Raw genomic sequence first — 19556 nt, 5'->3', positions numbered from 1 at the left:
GACATCACTGTTACTTGGGAAAGGGGGTGAATAACCCTTTATGGCATAAATACCATCTTCTGAATTCAGCCAGAATTCCTACTGCATTAAATTACTGTATTGTCTGTGACTATACACTGAAACACGGGGCTCGCTTTGTTCGGGTAGTCTGGTAATTTGAAGCTCTCAAGCAGGTTTCGCTATTTTGTAATCCAAAGGCAAGCCTTCTCTATTGCTTTTAGTGATTTGAAACAAAGTTTATTGACAATGATTTGCACATAAAAACATTTGGGAAAATAACTAGCCATTCAAGAAATGGAGTAGATGTTGAAAAAGGGCTAAATTACCTCCTAAATGCTAGAAACAGCATGGAAGCAGTTGAGATGCCCGTAGCTTCAGTGTACGTATAGGAACAAGTTAATCTATGTTCACATTAATAGTTAAATCAAGGCAATAGAGAATTTTCACTACCATTGGATACAAACCACTGACAACTGATACTTTGTATGTAAGTGCAGGCTCCTGGATACATAAAATACACACTTAATGAAAAGTTGTTAGTAAGTTGAAAATGTCACACTATCTGTCCATTTCCCTTCTTTCATTTTATTGACAATAAACCAACAGAAATGCCTCTGCCCTGTTTTGCCCAGCCGTTTGTAATTAAAGAGACACGCCGGGGTGCAGGAATTTTTTAAACGCCCTCACTCCCTCAGCAGCTCTCGGTCATTCCACTTCCACCCCCAAGACAACCATTTCTACAGCTGGAGACATTTCCTTCTGCTCCTGTTTTTACCTTCTGCTCTTGCAAGAGGTAACCAACCTGGGAAGGATGGCGTATGCGCCCCCTTTTTGGAACCTCATTTTCTTCTCTCTCTCTCTCTCCCCACCTGCCCCCTCTTTCTTTCTTTTTTGAGACAGGGTCTTGTTCTGTGGCCCCAGGCTAGAGTGCAGTGGTATGATCACAGCTCACTGCAGCCCCAAACTCCTGGGCACAAGTGCGCCTCCTGCCTCAACCTCTCCAGCTGGGACTACAGGTGTGCACCACCATGTTGGGTAATTTTTTGTTTTTTTGTAGAGACAGGGTCTTGCCATGTTGCCCAGGCTGGTCTTGAACTCTTGGGCTCAAGTGATCCTCCCATCTTGGCCTCCCCAAGTCCTGGGATTATAGGTGTGAGCCACCGCACCCCACCCTTATTTCTTTTTCTTTCTTTCTTTCTTTCTTTCTTTCTTTCTTTCTTTCTTTCTTTTTTTTTTTTTTTTTTGAGATGGAGTCTCACTCTGTCGCCCAGGCTGGAGTGCAGTGGCGCAATCTCGGCTCACTGCAAGCTCCGCCTCGCGGGTTCATGCCATTCTCCTGTCTCAGCCTCCTGAGTAGCTGGGACTACAGGCGCCCGCCACCTCGCCCGGCTAATTTTTTTGTATTTTTAGTAGAGACGGGGTTTCACTGTGTTAGTGAGGAAGGTCTCAATTTCCTGACCTTGTGATCTGCCTGCCTTGGCCTCCCAAAGTGCTGGGGGGAGGGGATTATAGGCATGAGCTACCGTGTCCGGCCCCTTATTTCTTTTTTGACTTTAAGCCTATTCTTTAATTCAACCAAATTCACATTTAAAAAACTTCAGGTGAGTCAATTCTGTGGTTCCATTCACACCACACGCTTATCCCTTCATCTCTTGATTCCAGTTGTAACAGGCATTGGAGTCACTTGCTCTGACACAGAACTGATTTATTTATAAGTTTTCAAATCTCAAACACAGAATGTTATAGCTACAACAGCATGGAGATGTCACGTGACCTCTTGGTTTCAGAATGTAAGTGCTGAGGCCATTGGGAGAGTGATGGTTAAATCAAGGCAATAGAGAATTTTCACTACCATTGGATACAAATCACTGACAACTGGTATTTTGTATATAAGTGCAGGCTCCTGGATACATAAAATAGAGACTTTTCACTAACATTGGATACAAACCACTGACAACTGATATTTTGTATATAAGTGCAGGCTCCTGGATACATAAAATACACACTTAATGAAAAGTTGTTAGTAAGTTGAAAATGTCACACTATCTGTCCATTTCCCTTCTTTCATTTTATTGACAATAAACCACCATGCAGTTGGTGAGGAAGTATGGCTATGCTGTGAGTGCTTCCTGGACCAGCCTCCTTCCTGGCCATGGGAAAGATGAGGATGACAATGAAGGAGAAGGTGTATCTACTTTTGTGGCTGCTCTAGTAGCGCACTGTGCAGTATGGTAGCTCCTAGCCACCAGTGGCTGTCAAAATTAAAGTTAGGCCAGGTGCGGTGGCTCATGTCTGTCATCCCAGCACTTTTGGAGACTACGGTGGGTGGTTTGCTTGAGCTCAGGAGTTTGAGATCAGTCTGGGCAACATAGAGAAATCCTGACTCTGCAAACAAACAAACAAAGAAAATCAGCTGGGCTTGGTGATGCACACCTGTAGTCTCAGCTACTCGGGAGGCTGAAGGGGGAGGATTGCTTGAACCCAGGAGGTTGAGGTTGTGGTGAGCCATGATCACACCTCTGTACTCCAGCATGGGCAACAGGCTGAGACCTTGTCTCAAGATAAATTCTTTAAAAAAGGATAAATAAATAATAAATTAAAATTTAAAAAATTAAAAATCAGTCTCTCAGTGGCAGTACACTAGCCACATTTCAAAGGCGCAAATCACCACCTGTAGCAGTGGCTGCTGATGGGAAAGTGTAGAAATTGTAGAGCACTTCCATAATCACAGAAAGCTCTGTTGACCAGCCTGAGCCCCTGCATTGAGCACAATGATTCAAACACAAAGATTTGGGCCAGGCGCAGTGGCTCACATCTGTAATCCCAGCACTTTGGGAGGCCGAGGGGGGTGGATCACGATGTCAGGTGATCAAGACCATCCTGGCCAACAAGGTGAAACCCCGTCTCTACTAAAATACAAAAAATTAGTCAAGCATGGTGGTGCATGCCTGTAGTCCCAGCTACTCGGGAGGCTGAGGCAGGGGAATCGCTTGAACCCGGGAGGTGGAGAGTGCAGTGAGCCAAGATCACGCCACTGCACTCTAGCCTGATGACAGAGTGAGACTCCATCTAAATATATATATATATATATGTATACAAACATTTGTATGCTGAACAGATCCCTAAATATCTGTCAGGGAGAAGGAGTGCCGTGATATCTCCTCTACTCTATAAGTGAATGCATCCCTACAACTGGCCTACATCGAGAATGTTTTGAAAATCTCTCCTCATTTTAAGCATAAGTTGGGTTCTTACTTTATCTGATGCATTTACTGTGTGGGTTGTTTTGAGAATGGAAATGCAAGCATGGACGTGCAGAATGTAGGGGAGGCCTACCCCTGGCCTTTTCTCCATGATTTATTATTCCGTTTACTCCTCAGAGATTGTTGAGTGCAGTGCTTCCAAAACACCGTAGCCAAATCCATTCCACATCAACCTGCTGCCTGTTCACACTGGTCGTGAGTCCTGCTATTGGCTGCATTTCCTAGGAGTGGGGCTGTGTCGTGTCTATCCCTCTGCTCTTCACCTCGGTACCACACTGACATGTGTCACATCCAACTGGTTGCCCACTCAGAAGTGCACCGGGAGAAAGCCTCTTTCTTCTGGCCATCTCCTGTATCGAATCAGTCATTTGTTCTTACAAACTGCCTAGTGAATGAATGTCTTGTCCAGCTTCCCAATCCTTGATTGTAATATTAAGATCACTTATTTGTATGAAATGTTGAAATCTAGAATTGGAGACTCATGGAAAACCCAGAATTCATGAAAACATGGGGAAAAAAGCCACAATAGATACTATAGCTATTAATACCATTTATCGAGCTTTTACCACGTGAAATGCTTTTTATATGGCCAGGCACGGGGGCTCATGCCTGTAATCCCAGCACTTTGGGAGGCCAAGGCAGGCCGATCACTTGAGGTCAGGAGTTCGAGACCAGCCTGGCCAACATGGCGAAACCCCATCTCTACTACAAAAAAAAAAGGGGGTTTTATATGACCAAAGTTTTTTTTTTTTTTTTTTTTTTTTTCTGAGATGGAGTCTCACTCTGTCACTCAGGCTGGAGTGCAGTGGCATGATCTTGGTTTACTGCAATCTCTGCCTCTTGGATTCAAGCGATTCCCCTGCCTCAGCCTCCCAAGCTGGGACTACAGGTGTGTGCTACCACGTCCGGCTTTTTTGTATTTTTAGTGCAGATGGGGTTTCACCATGTTGGCCAGGATGGTCTCGATCTCCTGACCTCATGATCCACCCACCTTGGCCTCCCAAAGTGCTGGGATTACAGGCATGAGCCACCTCACCTGGCCATATTTATTTATTTATTTATTTAGAGACAGGGTCTCGCCCTGTCACCCAGGCTGGAATGCAGTAGTATGATCATGGCTCACTGTACCTTCAACCTTCTGGGTTCAAGCCATCCTCCCACCTCAGCCTCCAGATGAGCTGGGACCACAGGCGCATGCCATCTTGCCCAGCTGGTTTTTAGTTTTACAATTTTTTTGTAGAGATGGGGTCTTGTTATGTTGCCCAGGCTGGTCTCAAACTCCTGAGCTCAAGTAATCCCTCCCAACTCCCAAAGTGTTGAGATTACAGGCATGAGCCACCACGCCTGGCTAGATTGTTTTAATTGTAAAACAGCAAGCAGAAAAATGGCTAAAACTGATATACACAATTTTAGCAAACAGATATAAAGAGAATCCTGTATAACACTGCCCAGGTCAAGGGGCAAGATGTTCCTTGTCCCCAGGAAGCTGCCCTGAGCTTGCTCACTCCTTCCCCATCAAAACTCCCTTTCTTCCCAGAGGCAGCCGCCACCCTCACTTTTATTAGGAACTCTTGCTTTCCCATCTTTGCACGCATCCCTAAACAAGACAGTGTGGTTCAGTCTCTTTAAAAACTTTCTATACAGGGAATCCTAGGTATTCTTTTTATTCTAGAGATGGAGTTTCACTCTTGTTGCCCAGGCTGGAGTGCAGTGGCACAATCTCAGCTCACTGCAACTTCCACCTCCTGGGTTCAAGGGATTCTCCTGCCTCAGCCTCCCAAGTAGCTGGGACTACAGGCGCCCGCCACCATGCCTGGCTAATTTTTGTATTTTTAGTAGAGATGGGGTTTCACCATGTTGGTCAGGCTGATCTTGAACTCCTGACCTCAGGTGATCCACCTGCCTCAGCTTCCCAAAGTGCTGGGATTACAGGCGTGAGCTACCGCGCCCAGCCGGAATCCTATGTATCCTTATGTTTAATGTTGCTTTACATTTTGTGCTATCTCCTTAGTCTCATTGACCTACAGCTGAACACTGGTCAAACTGAAGGGAGAAACAATCACCTTTCAATGGCACTTCTGGTTTGCACCCACTTCTGAGGTGTGTCCTGCCTTTGGGTACGTAGCCTGTGACGGCTCTCTGCAGCCCTGGGGCACGCTGTCTCCTCCACCGCTGTATTCCCACAGTGCACAATGTGTCTTGCTCAGAGCAATGTCTGATGAACATTTTTTAGAGAAATGTATGAATGTGGGCCAGGCGCGGTGGCTCACGCCTGTAATCCCCCACTTTGGGAGGCCGAGGCGGGCGGATCACAAGGTCAGGAGATCGAGACCATCCTGGCTAACACGGTGAAACCCCGTCTCTCCTAAAAATACAAAAAATTAGCCGGGCGTGGTGGCGGGCACCTGTAGTCCCAGCTACTCAGGAGGCTGAGGCAGGAGAATGACGTGAACCCGGGAGGTGGAGCTTGCAGTGAGCCGAGATCGTGCCACTGCACTCCAGCCTGGGTGAAGAATGAGACTCTGTCTGAAAAATTAAAAAAAAAAAAAAAAAAAAAAGAAATGTATGAATATGGCTGAGTGTGGGACATCCTGGGCCTAATATTTGTTTTTGTGAATGTTGTAAATAACAATGTCAAAATAAATAAAATGAAGGAAAATTAGGAATTGGCTATCAAGAAATCAGCTGTAAATAATTCACTTTTTGGCTGGGCGCAGTGGTGCACGTCTGTAATCCCAGCACTTTGGGAGGCTGAGGCGGGCGGATTGCCTGAGCTCAGGAGTTCGAGACCACCCTGGACAACATGGTGAAACCTCATCTCTACTAAAACACAAAAAATTAGCCAGGTGTGGTGGCAGGTGCCTGTAGTCCCAGCTACTGGGGAGGCTGAGGCAGGAGAATCACTTGAACCCAGAAGACGGAGGTTGCAGTTAGCCGAGATCGTGCCACTGACTTCGATCCAGCCTGGGCGACAGAGGGAGACCCTGTCTCCAAAGAAAAAAGAAAATTCACTTTTTGGCCTGGTGCAGTGGCTCGTGCCTATAATCCCAGTACTTTGGGTGGAGGCAGGAGGATCACTTGAGCCTAGGAGTTCAACACGAATCTGGGCAATCCTGTCTCTACAAAAAAATAAAAAATTAGCAAGACATGTGGCACATGCCTTTGGTCCCAGCTGCTCAGGAGGTCGAGGCCACTGTGATTACACCACTGCATTCCAGCCTGGGTGACAAAGTAAGACCCTGTCTCATAAATAAATAAATAAATAAATATTCACTTTCTAAAAGCTAGCAGAAAAAATTTAATCCACATCCCAAACAGTATAATAAGAAATAATCAGAATATAACTTGATAATGTTTTTGGATGATTTGAACTTCCTCTGGTAAGTACTTCTGATGCTCTAAATGAGTTAACCAGATGAGAACAAACATTTTCTTCAAACCATTTAACTTGGCAATAGTTAACTCATTAAGGATAATAACAATGACATTCTTCAGGTTTGTGTTTTTTTTTTTTTAAAAAAAGATAGTCCTATTCTGAACATTTCATTAATCAAAAACAAGACCAAACCCCCCCCCCCCCCAAAAAAAAAAAAAAAACCCACGAAACTTCAAAAGGTGAAAATACTGACTAGGTTCTAAGGATATGGTAGGAAATGGTTGCTTAGGGCTATGTACCTAAAATGAACTTCTGTTCTGAAAGCCCAACAAAAACTGTGTGGTACATGTATCTATCTACATATATTTTCTCACGTCATGTCTACTCTGCTAATTCCTAGGATAGTTAATGCAAACATTTGGTAAGCTCTTATTTTGTTATGCATGTAAAATTTAAAAGCATGAAGCTCTAGTAACATTAAAAAATAGTTGCAGTCTAAGGTGGATAGAAAGATGATGTATGGAAAAATGGGACAAGAGTAATATGGAATACGCTTAGAATTTCATGCAATACACTTTAATACATAGTATACTTTGGGAACAATTCCAAAATCATGGAGCCAGCGGAAGGGCTAGAGCAGCTCAGAAACCAGGCAACTGGAAATGAACTTGGTTCTGATACATCATTGCCATTTCCAAAAAACGTGCGTAGCAAATGTGGACGAAATGAATGAAACCATGTAACAATGTTCTTCAAACTAAATTTAAAACTGAGTTGCCCAGAACGAAAAAAATAACCACTAGCCATTTTAATAACTCATATGTAGATTAAATGAACAAGCTGTCCACCTAAATATCTCATTTCGATGTCATCTACTCGCCTGCACACATGGATTAATAGTTACTTTATACTTTTTAGGCTGCAGCGAACGCAAGATTCTCAAAGAAATAGTTTCCTAACAGAATGACTGATACCATTGTGGAAAGAGACATTATTCAGGACATTATCTGTTTCATTCTTCCGTCAAGGTAACTCATCTACTTTTAGACTTACACTTCTAAAGAAAACTGCTATGATCTAAAGAGATTGGCCATAAAACTATTTGTATTGAAAACATAGCCAGCGTGGCTTTAGTGAACTTTTTTCATTAGCATTCTTAGTGGCAAGGTTTCCATATCTCAGTGTTCATTTTATACTTTAATTTGGTTAGTAGGTCTTTGTTTAATCATCCCATTGAAAGGAGAACAAAGGCGGTTTAGGTGATACAGGAGAGTAATGCACTATATTTTATCTCTGAAAAAAGCCCGACAAAGTCAGAAGACTCTGATAGCCTCTGGTTTTCTCCAGGACATTTGGAACCACAAATCAGTCAGGGGATAAAGATCCTCACTGTGCCTCACTGTAGACACCTTTGGAAGAGAAACACCTTGTCAGCCACAGAAATTAAGCTCTGCCAGTTCCATCTGGCTCTGACGGCAGATCATCACACCAGAAGAGCGTCTCGGTTTCATGAGGTGAGGGTCTGTTTCTCAAATACCATCTCCCTCAATAAAATCACTAGTCAGGACAATCCCCGCCCCCCCCGCATTACTTCTCTTAATAAAGTATTGATGCTATTCAAATGACAGTGCTGGGCTAAATGAAAGCCGGTCAGGGTTTTGCTTCCAACTGGAACACTGCAAGCCCTCTAAAGGGAAATACTTCTCATTCCTTTGTGTCGAATTCTGCTACAGTAGTTCCTCAAATTGCTGCTGTTGCGATTTCCTTCTCCCTCAAAAGTCAAAACCCATTTTTCCCTGATGTTTGGGTCCCTGAACTTTTTCTTCTGATCAAATCATCCTCCCCACTTAACCCTCTCCCCTCTCACCCAATATAGGCTTTTCTTTTCCGGTTTTGCTTGACTTCATTAAGGAAAGTAAATTAATCTCTGTTTGTCTGTGGTATTTGTAAGTTGCTCTTTTTTCTTCGGTATTACTTTCTGGAGAATGACTACGCCCAACTTTCTAACTTTTTCTTTGTAATGTGGATGTTTTATTTTCTAATCCACATTTCTCTTTGCAGTTTCTTGAACTTCCTTTGGTTGGTGTCACAGCCAGCCACCCAGTAGAGACTGAGACCACCAGTTCATTTCACACAGGCCACTGAACAGTCATAAGATGGTGACAACTTTTGGTCTCTAGTGACCTGGACTGGATCCGACTCACTGACCTAGAGGTGAAAGGCTCTGTATTCCATTACTAATCCCTCGAGCTCTCCAGCCCCCTGAAAATGATTCTTTGGTTTTATTATTGCAAAGACCATTTATAAAATCATGAACTGGATTTAGGAAAGCAACCATGAAATAGCAAGGGACAACAAACTGATTGAAATTCCTTAAATGTAGCATGGGCTGAAGTCTCTCAGACAGTAAGATTGGGGGGAAAGTTATATATAGGCACCTCCATTCTGATTTCAGTAGCGTGACCTGCTCACTTAAACGTGGCAACTTCAGATCATGGACCACGCCTCAAGGAACTAAATCCTAAATAAAGAAAATGGAAAAGCAAACTATGAAATAGCCAATAATCTTTATTTTGCACTTCCCCCACCCCTCACCCCTCTCCAAAAACCACTAACGCGCATTTTTGTGCATGTGAAAATATTGTATAAAGTATTTAGAATGATCTCAAATTAATCAAACAAAAAAACACATATCTCAACATAGATGCTTTGTTTCTTAGCGGGGATAGAAAAATTCTGGCCTCTTGAACAACGAGGGCAATGACACCCTGTGCTCCGAAGAGGTCGACTCCATTTCCACTGATTTGCAACTTAACATTCATGGCAGAAAACCGCATTTCTCTAACCACATAATGTTTTAAAATATGACTAATTCATACACTAATATCAATTTACTTGGCATTTAAAAAAATCACATTTTCTAGTAATATATTTGTATTAGGTTCAAAGCCCATATTCTAGCATCCAACAGATCCAGCACATGGGCCTACACTGGGATTATTTCAAAATCAAGTAAAAGTCCGTATTTATCCCAAAGTTGCTAAAATATGCTAATAAAGTTAAATTTGATGTTTTTTTAACATTAAAAATAAAATATTTGGTTTACCTCTCAGACATCTATAACATATAATAAATAGTGGGCAGTATAATAATATAATAAAGTTTTGTGATACCCTGAAATTTGATGAGTTTTCTTAAAAAAATTCATAATATACTTCATTTCAGCCTTAAAGCACAATATTAATGAACAGATTTGTAGAAATAAAACAATATAAAGACAAAATGCTACAGTATATGTGGGTTTTTTGTTGTTTTTTTTTTTTACTTTCATGGAAACTACATGTCCTTTTAGTAAAAGTCTGTCAAAGAAATTTACAAAAACAAAATAGACAACAAACAAAACAACTTCAAGTCATAAACTCTAAATTTAAATTGCCTTGTTTTCCTTCCAACTGCTCGGGCCCTTTCCCCACCATGTTTCCGGGCACTGCGCAGGCTGAGCTCAAGGGAAATTTCTTTGAACGATGGCTTTTTCTCTAGCCTTGTTTCTGTCCAGCGTCATTACAGACCTGGCTGAAATCACAGTGGATTTCAGAGAAAGCCAGAATTAAACACGATAAAAATTTAAAAAATAACTACTTCATAAATATTTATTATTTACATTAGGGGCAATCTTTTAGTCTGAAGAGTTTTTATACAAGTTGATGAAATGTACAAGCAGTGAGAAGAGACTCCAGCAGTTTAAAGAAGGGCAAAATTAGAATGCAACGAAGATATAAAATACATTAAACAAAAATAATTTGCACAAAAGCAAACAGGACATGATAGAAACCTTTTTCTTAAAAAATATAAGGTATTTCACAAAAGCCTGAACATTTTACATGTTAGTACTAAAAACGGGGGAAGGAGGGAAGCTTCATATATTCTTATCACAAAAATATTTACCGGTACTCCAACTGGAGTTTTCTTTTATGTTATTCTGATTATCTTACTATAGAGGGAAAGGGGCTGAAAACTGTATACAGACTCTATCATCCTTAAATTACAGTTGAGGCAGTTTGTACATTATCTTCTCATCTAATACCTCAATGAAAAGGCCCTGGAGAGAATAAAGGAAATCAAAAGGGAAGATGTACGCTCTTTATTAATAATACTTGTCACTGGTATTAGAGAAGTGGAGGAGGGGCAGCCCCCAGGCCACGCCTCTGCTTGAGTTTCCTTCTGTCGCACTGCCACGGAGCCACAGGCCAAGGCGGCTCGGGAGTGAACAATCCAGGTGCGCGGTGTGTTCCAGCCTCAGTCCTCCTGGGTTCTTTATCCACAGGCATCTGGGGGTGGATGTGACGGCAGACTTGCACCAGCTCCCTTCCAGAGGCGCCAGGGAAGAAGCCCGGGCTGACCCCGCTTGGTCCAGCCCCTCGGGAGTCGTCAGTGGGCTCGATGCTTCCTCTTCTTGTGCTTTTTGTCCTTCTTCTTGTTCGCACACTTGGGGCAGAACCACTGCATCTCTTCTGGGGGTGCAGTCATGATTCCAACACAGGGCCTGCACGTGAAAACAAGCTCAGATAAGCAACTTTTATACAGACATCTATTCTTCTCCCTTCCATGTTTTAAAGTAATTTTTTAGAGTCTATGACATGTTTACCCGAAATCAAAGTCAAGCAGCACTAACTTGTGTGTAGCACTATTGTTGGGCATGCGGACTATGAGATCACAGATGCTCCCTTTACAGGCCCCCTGCAGAGACTCATCCGTTCATTCATCCTCTCAGCCAGGAATAGAAGTCTTCCGAGCCACGGCTTTGTCTTTATCTCACAGATATCGTCTATCATAACTGAACAGGTTGCTATCTTTTTTGTATCTGACATTTTAAAGATAACACGAGATTATCTGCATAAATTCTGGTTGAGCTTTTCAGTTTTTAGGAACCGCTGAAGAGGTCTAAAAAACAGATAAGCAGTCTTTAGTCCTGCAGTTTGTACCACCTTTACAAAGGCGCTGCCTCTTCGTGGTCCTGGCCAGTGCTACAGCTCCTACAGAACATTACTGGAAAGGAAGGCCAGGGAAGCCCCTGGATCTCCTTTTAGTATTATTATTTTTAATAAGAAGGATAGATAAGCTAAGCAGAATATTCAGAATTTAGGGTGAATAACAATAGTCTAAGCACTCTTGGGTTTTGCAGTTAATTGCACTTCACAGGCTCAGTGATTTGACTCCATGTACTGTCCCTAGGACAGCCCTGGGTCAGTCCAAAGGCAGGAATCTACTCAGTGGATGCTTCATCTCAGGAGCGGCTGATGCTGCCTAATGAGTGTGGCCGGCAGGGCGCCCTGGGCACTCACCAGTGGTACCAGTCATCGCAGTCGTCACACCCAATCATGGGACTCCCATCGTCAGGCTTGTTACACCCAGGGCAGATCCAGATCTGATTGCCCCACTCATCTCGGATCTGATGTTTGCAAAGCGGAAGCGGCAAAAATGGAGGGAATGGGAAAAAAAACAAAAAGAGGCCAGATCAGAATGATTACTTTATACTGTTAACCGAATAAACAGGCATATTAAACTAAAAAATATAGTAGATCAGCACTTCATTAATGCCATGATCAGCGTCATCACTGTTTTAGAATCAAGAAACAGAAAAACGCTAAGTGTTCAATGATAAGGCATTTCTAACGAATATTCTAAGCTTTCTTTTGTAAGTCATAAAAAGCATTTTATAATCATCTCTGTGAACAATATGACCTGTAACCCCTTTCATAAAAAAAAAAACTATAACTATGTAAATTCTTAATGATTTGGGTCTTTATAAGGGTGGTAACAACTGATTTTTTGAAAGTTATAGAGCTCCACTTTATATGTGGTTTTCTCAATCGCATTCATAGGCATGGAATTAATATAGACAGCCAAATGTGCATGCACCACCTTATTACTTATTAGCCAAGCCCTTCTCCTGAAGGAGCTGATAAGATCAAGGATATAAAAGAGTTGTTACTAAGTAACTTTCCATTCCCTTTATGACATTTTTAGTAAAGTACAATCAACTAAAGGGCAAATGAAATAAGGGGATAGGGAGGCCACAGAGCTACAAGGTTCAACATTATTTTGCTACAAATATTGTGTACTCTAGAGTTGACTTTATTTAACTTAGCAGTTCTAAAGAGGGAACATCCTATTCACCACTTCCTCAAACTTCACATGAACAGAGCCAACCTGGAAGAATTAATTCACTGATGGGCATTCAACACCAGCAATAAGAAAAAGGTAACTTCCAAAGTGTTTACAATAACAGAGCACATTATTGCATCCGGTTTATTTTGTAAGGGATAGTTCTTCCCAGACTTTCAAATACCACACTGACTAGACATGCTTTTAGAAAGGCTTTCTTTGTGTGTGACAGGTGCATTGGGGGTCCATATATGTTTCACTGTAGTGATGGGCTTCCTTTAAGGCAACTCTACAAAGGCAAACTACATTGACAGGAAAACTTCCTAAAGAAATCTGTGGGCAACTACATCTCTGACCCTCCGTAATTCCAGGAGAAAAAGTAACAAGGGGTGAGAACCAGCAGTCACCCGTACCTGCTGTCTAGAGGCCAAGGCTGGTGGAACATCCTATGCCCTGAAGCTCCCACGTGTGGCCAGTCCTGCTGCTGGCTGACCTTGCTTGAAGTCAGAAGGCCGTGACTCTGTGTGCCGCACAAGAACTTCACCACGGCATCCACAGCAACTAATACCAAATACCTCATAGCTTACTAAATTCTTCTAAACATCTCATTTCATTTAATCCCTGTAAAACAACCTCTGGGTAGCTTATGAATGGGGAAACCGGAGCTAAGGGAATTTAAGTGGCATTTCCAACATCACACCATTAGGCAGTGACAAAATTTGCCTTTTTGCTCTCTAGCCTTTGTATGTCATCTAAATCATAAATTTTGTCCTCTAACCACAAAGCGTCTCTCTTCATGAGGTAGAAAGCTTTTTTTAAATTTTCATTTTTATTTTAAAGACAGGGTTTCACTCTGTCACCCAGGCTGGAGTGCAGTGGTGTGATCATGGCTCACTGTAGCCTTGACCTCGGTAGGCTCAGGTGATCTTCCCAGCTCAGCCTCCTGAGTAGTTGAGACTACAGGCACATGTCACCCTGCCCAGCCAATTTTTGTATTTTCTGCAGAGATGGGGTCTCACTATGTTGCCCAGACTAGTCTCAACTCCTGGGCTCATGTGATACAGCTGCCTTGGCCTCCCAAAGTGCTGGGATTATAGGCGTGAGACACCATGCACAGCCAGTAAGCTTTCCATCTACATTGTCTATTCCAGTTGGACTCATCTCCAGGAAGTGAGTTAGCTCAAAGATCTACTGGAAAACCAGAACTTTTAGAGCTAGAACATGCCACAGAGATTACCAAGTTTAACACAAACTCCTTAATTACAGATGAAGACACGAAGGTCAAGGAGGTTAAGTACAAAATCTTTCCTGATCAACCCATTTGGGGGTGATGTTGCCTCTAATTAAACACCTACAATGATTGGTCCCCGAATGGACCAATTTGATGATCACACTTTTAGAAGTTCCTTCCAAAACTCCTTTAAGGAAATTTAATAATAGGCCAGGCGTGGTTGCTCATGCCTGTAATCCCAGCACTTTGGGAGGCCAAGGTGGAAGGACTGCTTGAGCCCAGGAGTTTGAGACCAGCCTGGGCAACACAGAGAGACATCATCTCCACAAAAACCAAAAACAAACAAACAAAAACAGCCAAGAAACAGCCAGTTGTGGTGGCAGACGCCTGTGGTCCCAGCTACTCGGGAGGCTGAGGTGAGGGGATCACTGGGGCCCAGGAGGTCGAGGCTGCAGTGAGTGGTATTGTGCCACTGCATTCCAGTATGGACAAGAAGAGTGAGACTACCTCAAAAGAAAAAAAGAAAACATAAAAAAAAGAAATGTAATATTGTACAGTTTATAACAACAAATACCATGAGTCCTACCCAGCCACTTTCCAATCATATTAGTACCTAGCTAGTTACAAGGTCAGGGCCACCAGTAGGCTAACACATCACAGTCTGCAGAGTTGGTAGTCACAGCAATGGCAATGGCTCCACACACCTTAAATATTTCGTTGTGTGTTTGTGTGTTTAATTCTATAGTATCCAAAGAACGTAATCTGTATAAACACTTTACTGCCAGAGTGTATTCAGGGAGTAAGAAACTAAAAAACAGTCCCAGAACAATGTGGACTCAGTGGACATGGTGGGATTTACAATTTTTTTTTTTCTTGAGATGGAGTTTCGCTCTTGTCCCTCAGGCTAGAGAGCAGTGGTACGATCTTGGCTCACTGCAAGCTCTGCCTCCCGTTCAAGCAATTCTTGTGCCTGAGCCTCCCGAGTAGCTGGGATTACAGGCACGTGCCACCATGCCCAGCTAATTTTGTTTGTATTTTTAGTAGAGATGGGGTTTCACCATGTTGGCCAGGCTGGTCTCGAACTCCTGACCTCAAGTGATCCATCTGCCTCAGCCTCCCAAAGTGCTGGGATTACAGGCGTAAGCCACTGCGTCCAGCTGGTTTTACAATTTGAAATCATGCTTGGATACTCAGGAGTTCTGTGGTCTCAAAGTTCATTTCCATTTAATATGCAAGCCCTGGCATATTCTGGATCATAGCCAATAAAATATAATTAGTGCTATTATTCAGAAACACTACCTGGCTCATAATATCAGTGTACATTCTATAAATTATACTCTTAAGTGAATAACTGAATTGCTTGATCAAGAAATTCAATGTGAGATTTCAGTACCACCATGCGTCTCTACATTTACAGATTGATATTACTGTATATATGCATATAGTCATATCCCAAAACAATATAAAAACAAGCTTTGATATGATTTATGGAGGCTGACTATGTGAACATTGTGATGTAACTTTTCAGCCAAAAGCTTGAAAATGCAGTGAAAAACTGCAATGAAGAAATGCATCTTGGCTGGGCATGGTTGTTCATGCCTGTCATCTCAGCACGTTGGGAGGCAGAAATGGGTGGATTGCTGGAGCTCAGGAGCTCAAGACCAGCCTGGGCAACATAGTGAAACCCTGTCTCCACCAAAAATACAAAAAACTAATCGAGAGTGGTGGTGACTGCCTGTGATCCCAGCTACTCAAGAGGTGGGAGGATCGCTTGAGCCTGGGAGGCAGGGGCTGCAGTGAGCCGAGATCGTACCACTGCACTCCAGCCTCGGTGACAGAGTGAAATCCCCTTTCAAAAAAAAAAAGCCGGGCACGGTGGCTCATGCCTGTAATCCCACACTTTGGGAGGCCGAGGCGGGTGGATCACCTTAGGTCAGGAGTTTGAGACCAGCCTGGCTAACACGGTGAAACCGTTTCTACTAAAAATACAAAAAATTGGCCAGGTGTGGTGGCACGTGCCTGTAATCCCAGCTACTCAGGAGGCTGAGGCAGGAGAATCGCTTGAACCTGGGAGGTGGAGGTTGCAGTGAGCTGAGATCTCACCACCGCATTCCAGGTTGGGCAATAAGAGCGAAACTCTGTCTCAAAAAAAAAAAAGAAAAAAAAAGAAACGTGTCTGGCCAGGGGCAGTGGCTCAGGCCTGTAACCCCACCACTTTGAGAAGCTAATGCAGGAGGATCGCTTGGGCCCAGGAGTTTGAGGTTGCAGTGAGCTATGATTGGGCCACTGTACTCCAGCCTGAGCCACACAGGGAGACCCTGTCTCAAAAATAATTAAGTAAATAATAAAATTTTGAAGAGAAATGCGTCTGAAATTCGATAGTGATTCAGAGCACACACTTGTCTCGATCTGAAAACGTCTCCATGCTAACCGCGCGGGCGGCAGGTACGCACCACGTAGGTGCTGACCGTCTCAGTCACCACGCTGCGCACGGGGGCTTTGGCACTGGCCCCGGAGGCGGCGGGACCCGGGGAGGGCAGCAGGGCAGGGCCCGCGGCGGCCTGGGCGAGCAGCGGCAGCGGCACGGGCGCAGGGCTGACGAGCATGGGGCCGGGGGCGGGCGCGGGGGCCGGCGGTGGGGTCTTCGGCCTGTTCTGCGAGGGCGCCGGCTTGGCCTCGGGGGCAGGGACCACCTTGCTGATGACACTGTCAACAAAAGAAGAGAAGGTAAAAGTCAAAACAGGATCATCATCGAACCAAACCCGTGCTTAAAAACATGATCGTAAAATAGCTTTTCTTCCAGTAGCGAAATACTTCAACGTCTAGAGGCAGCTCAAGAACTGAGTTCCAGGCCCTGCATGAAGTGGCCTCTCCACTTACTCAGACGAATTTTTCATTTTCCAAACTTCCCCTCAATGGCCAGACAGTTAGAAATTTCTAGCAACCAATACACATGCATTGTTCACAGAAATATGACTTCAATTGCCTGTTCCTGTGCTGGGGCAGAAGCTCTGACGGCTTCAGAGGTGGCGCTCCCCACCCCCACCTCTGCTGAGTCCTCGGGGGGGCCTGACAGGGGCTGCTCCTTCCACTGTGGCTCCAGCTGGAGAGGACCTGGAGCAGCCTGTGCTCCACACTGGAGATGGGCAAGAAAGACACATTTGCTGTTGGAAGCCCTTGAGATTTTTGGGTTGTTAATTACCATAAACCTAACCTGGCCTAAGCTGCTGGACAGAGCAGCTTAAAAAGAAAAAGTTTCTATTTCTCTCTTCTTAATTCCAATGTTTCTTCTTAATACTCTCAATGCCATTGTCAATAAAACTGTGAAGACTTTCTCACTTCTGGGTTTGGCTTTGATTGCCAGGTTTTAAAGATTGACCGTTCAGGCTGGGCAAGGTGGCTCACCCCTGTAATCCTAGCACTCTGGGAGGCCGAGGTGGGTGGATTACCTGAGGTCGAGAGTTCAAGACCAGCCTGGCCAACATGGTGAAACACCGTCTCTACTAAAAAATACAAAAAATTAGCCGGGTGCAGTGGCGTGCACCTGTAATTCCAGCTACTCAGGAGGCTGAGGCAGGAGAATCGCTTGAACCCAGGAGGCAGAGGTTACAGTGAGCCGAGATCTCGCCACTGCACTCTAGCTTGGGCTACAGAGTGAGACTTCGTCTCAAAAAAAAAAAAAAAAAAAAAAGATTGTTCCCAGACGGGCTGCAGAGGTAAGGAGGAGGTAATGCAGCGGCAGCTTCTGTCCTGGTGATGCTGCCGCAGGTCGCTAGAGCTGTGGTACTGTGACCCTGCTCCTCCACTAACAGCATCCTCTTCACACAACTCTCGCCAGTGGAAGCAGCTCTGGACTTGGGGCCAGGACATCTGAGTTCAAATTCTACAGCCGCCAGAGACTAGACCTGTGGCCTTGGATTACTCAATTTATTATAAAAAGCACTATTTATTGAGGACCTATAAGAAGTTAGAGGTTATACTAGGCACTTTACAAACATCATCTCATCCAGTCCTTATGAGAACATCAAAGAAGTAATGATTACCCCATTTTGTAGATGAGGAAACTGAAGATCAGCAAGAGAAAGGAATTTGAGTAAACGGGTGGCAGCTTTTGAACCAAAGTCTACTTGATTCCAAAGCTTGTTTTTAAGCTTCTTTATTAAAAAAAAAAGGTATATATATATATATATATATATATATATATATATATATATATATATAATTTCACACACAGAGAAAACAATATAACAGACAGTTAGGTAATAATCAGAGATAAAATATGTTAGCCTTTGCCATATTTGTTTCAGATGAACTTCCTTCCCTGCCCCAGAGCAACCACTGCCCTAAGACAGGTATGTTTTTGTTTATTGTTCTTGGTACTTTGTTTTTTTCTCTGTACCTTTCCTGCCTTTGTAGGTGTCCATAAACAATACATACTGCATTACTGTTTGCTGTCTTTTAACTTTTATACACACAATGTCACACTCCAGTTGTCCTCTGCAACTAGCTTTTCCCACTTAGTTTTATGTCTCCTGATTTATCCATGCTGACACATAGAGATCTATATTATTTATTCTAATTACTATATTGTATTCCATGGTATTAGTAAGCCAAAGGTTTTTGTCCATCATCCTACTGAAAGTAGGAGACATTCACTTGTAAACTTACACACTGACTCATAAATAGAACTGTTCAAGGACTTCTCCAAGCCCCATCCCTAGAAATGAAGTTTCTGGGCCATGGAATATGGCCATCCTCACCTCACCAGGAATTGCCAGCCTGTGGACTGTCCCAGCTTGTCTCTTTCTACTATTCCACACAATTCTTTAGGCCTTGTTTTTCTCAGCAACAAAGTGAAAAGAAATGCAGTGGCCTCAGAGGGTTGTAGTGAGAACCTCAATGTGGAGAAACACTTCAAAAACTGCATCCAGATGGGAACTGCCGGCCCCGTGCCATGTTCACGGCTGTTGCTCACGACAGCCTCTGGCCTCATTGCTGCCAGCCTTCACGGTTCCACTTCCTCATAGTCCTAGTTTAGAAACCACTTTCACCAAAAGGCACTGACTCTTTGCTATTCTGATCATAAATTCATAAAACATTAAGTTACTTCAAAAACTTCACCATTATTTCAGCAAGTAACTTCATTACTGCTGTCGAATTGTTCTCTATTTGTTTCCTGCAAGGGTGATCATCTTCCTAACTTGGATACAGCCAAAGATCAAGAGACTTTAGCACAGGCTTGTTGGTGCAGCAGACACTTCATAAATGCTTAACATCATAACCGATGAATATTTATTGAGCACTTTCTATATGTCTGACTGTCCTAAGCACTTGAAAGCCAATTGTGGGCCAGGCACCACTGTGTTAAATATTTACTTGCCTTGCCTTATCTAGGTTTTTTTTTTTTGAGATGGAGTTTCACTCTTGTTGCCTAGGCTGGAGTGTAATGGCGCAGTCTTGACTCACTGCAACCTCCGCCTCCTGGGTTCAAGTGATTCTCCCGCCTTAGCCTCCCAAGTAG

General features: G+C 43.4%; 1 protein-coding gene across 2 annotated transcripts in view; it reads right to left on the bottom strand.

Moving 5' to 3' along the window:
• Positions 1 to 9187: 9187 nt before the first annotated feature.
• TAF3 (TATA-box binding protein associated factor 3) overlaps positions 9188 to 19556 on the bottom strand; it is a 198127-nt gene continuing 187758 nt past the window's right edge. For both annotated transcript variants that reach the window (NM_031923.4, XM_011519741.2), the window contains exons 5-7: positions 16489 to 16741; positions 11982 to 12088; positions 9188 to 11182 (exon numbers count right to left, since the gene is read on the bottom strand). In NM_031923.4, the coding sequence (NP_114129.1) occupies positions 11068 to 11182; positions 11982 to 12088; positions 16489 to 16741 (475 nt within the window). In that variant the 3' untranslated portion in view covers positions 9188 to 11067. The remainder of the gene's footprint in view (positions 11183 to 11981; positions 12089 to 16488; positions 16742 to 19556) is intronic.

This window comes from Homo sapiens, chromosome 10 (genome assembly GCF_000001405.40).
Source record: "Homo sapiens chromosome 10, GRCh38.p14 Primary Assembly".
Taxonomy (NCBI): domain Eukaryota; kingdom Metazoa; phylum Chordata; class Mammalia; order Primates; family Hominidae; genus Homo; species Homo sapiens.
This window is presented reverse-complemented; position numbering and strand designations above follow the sequence as displayed.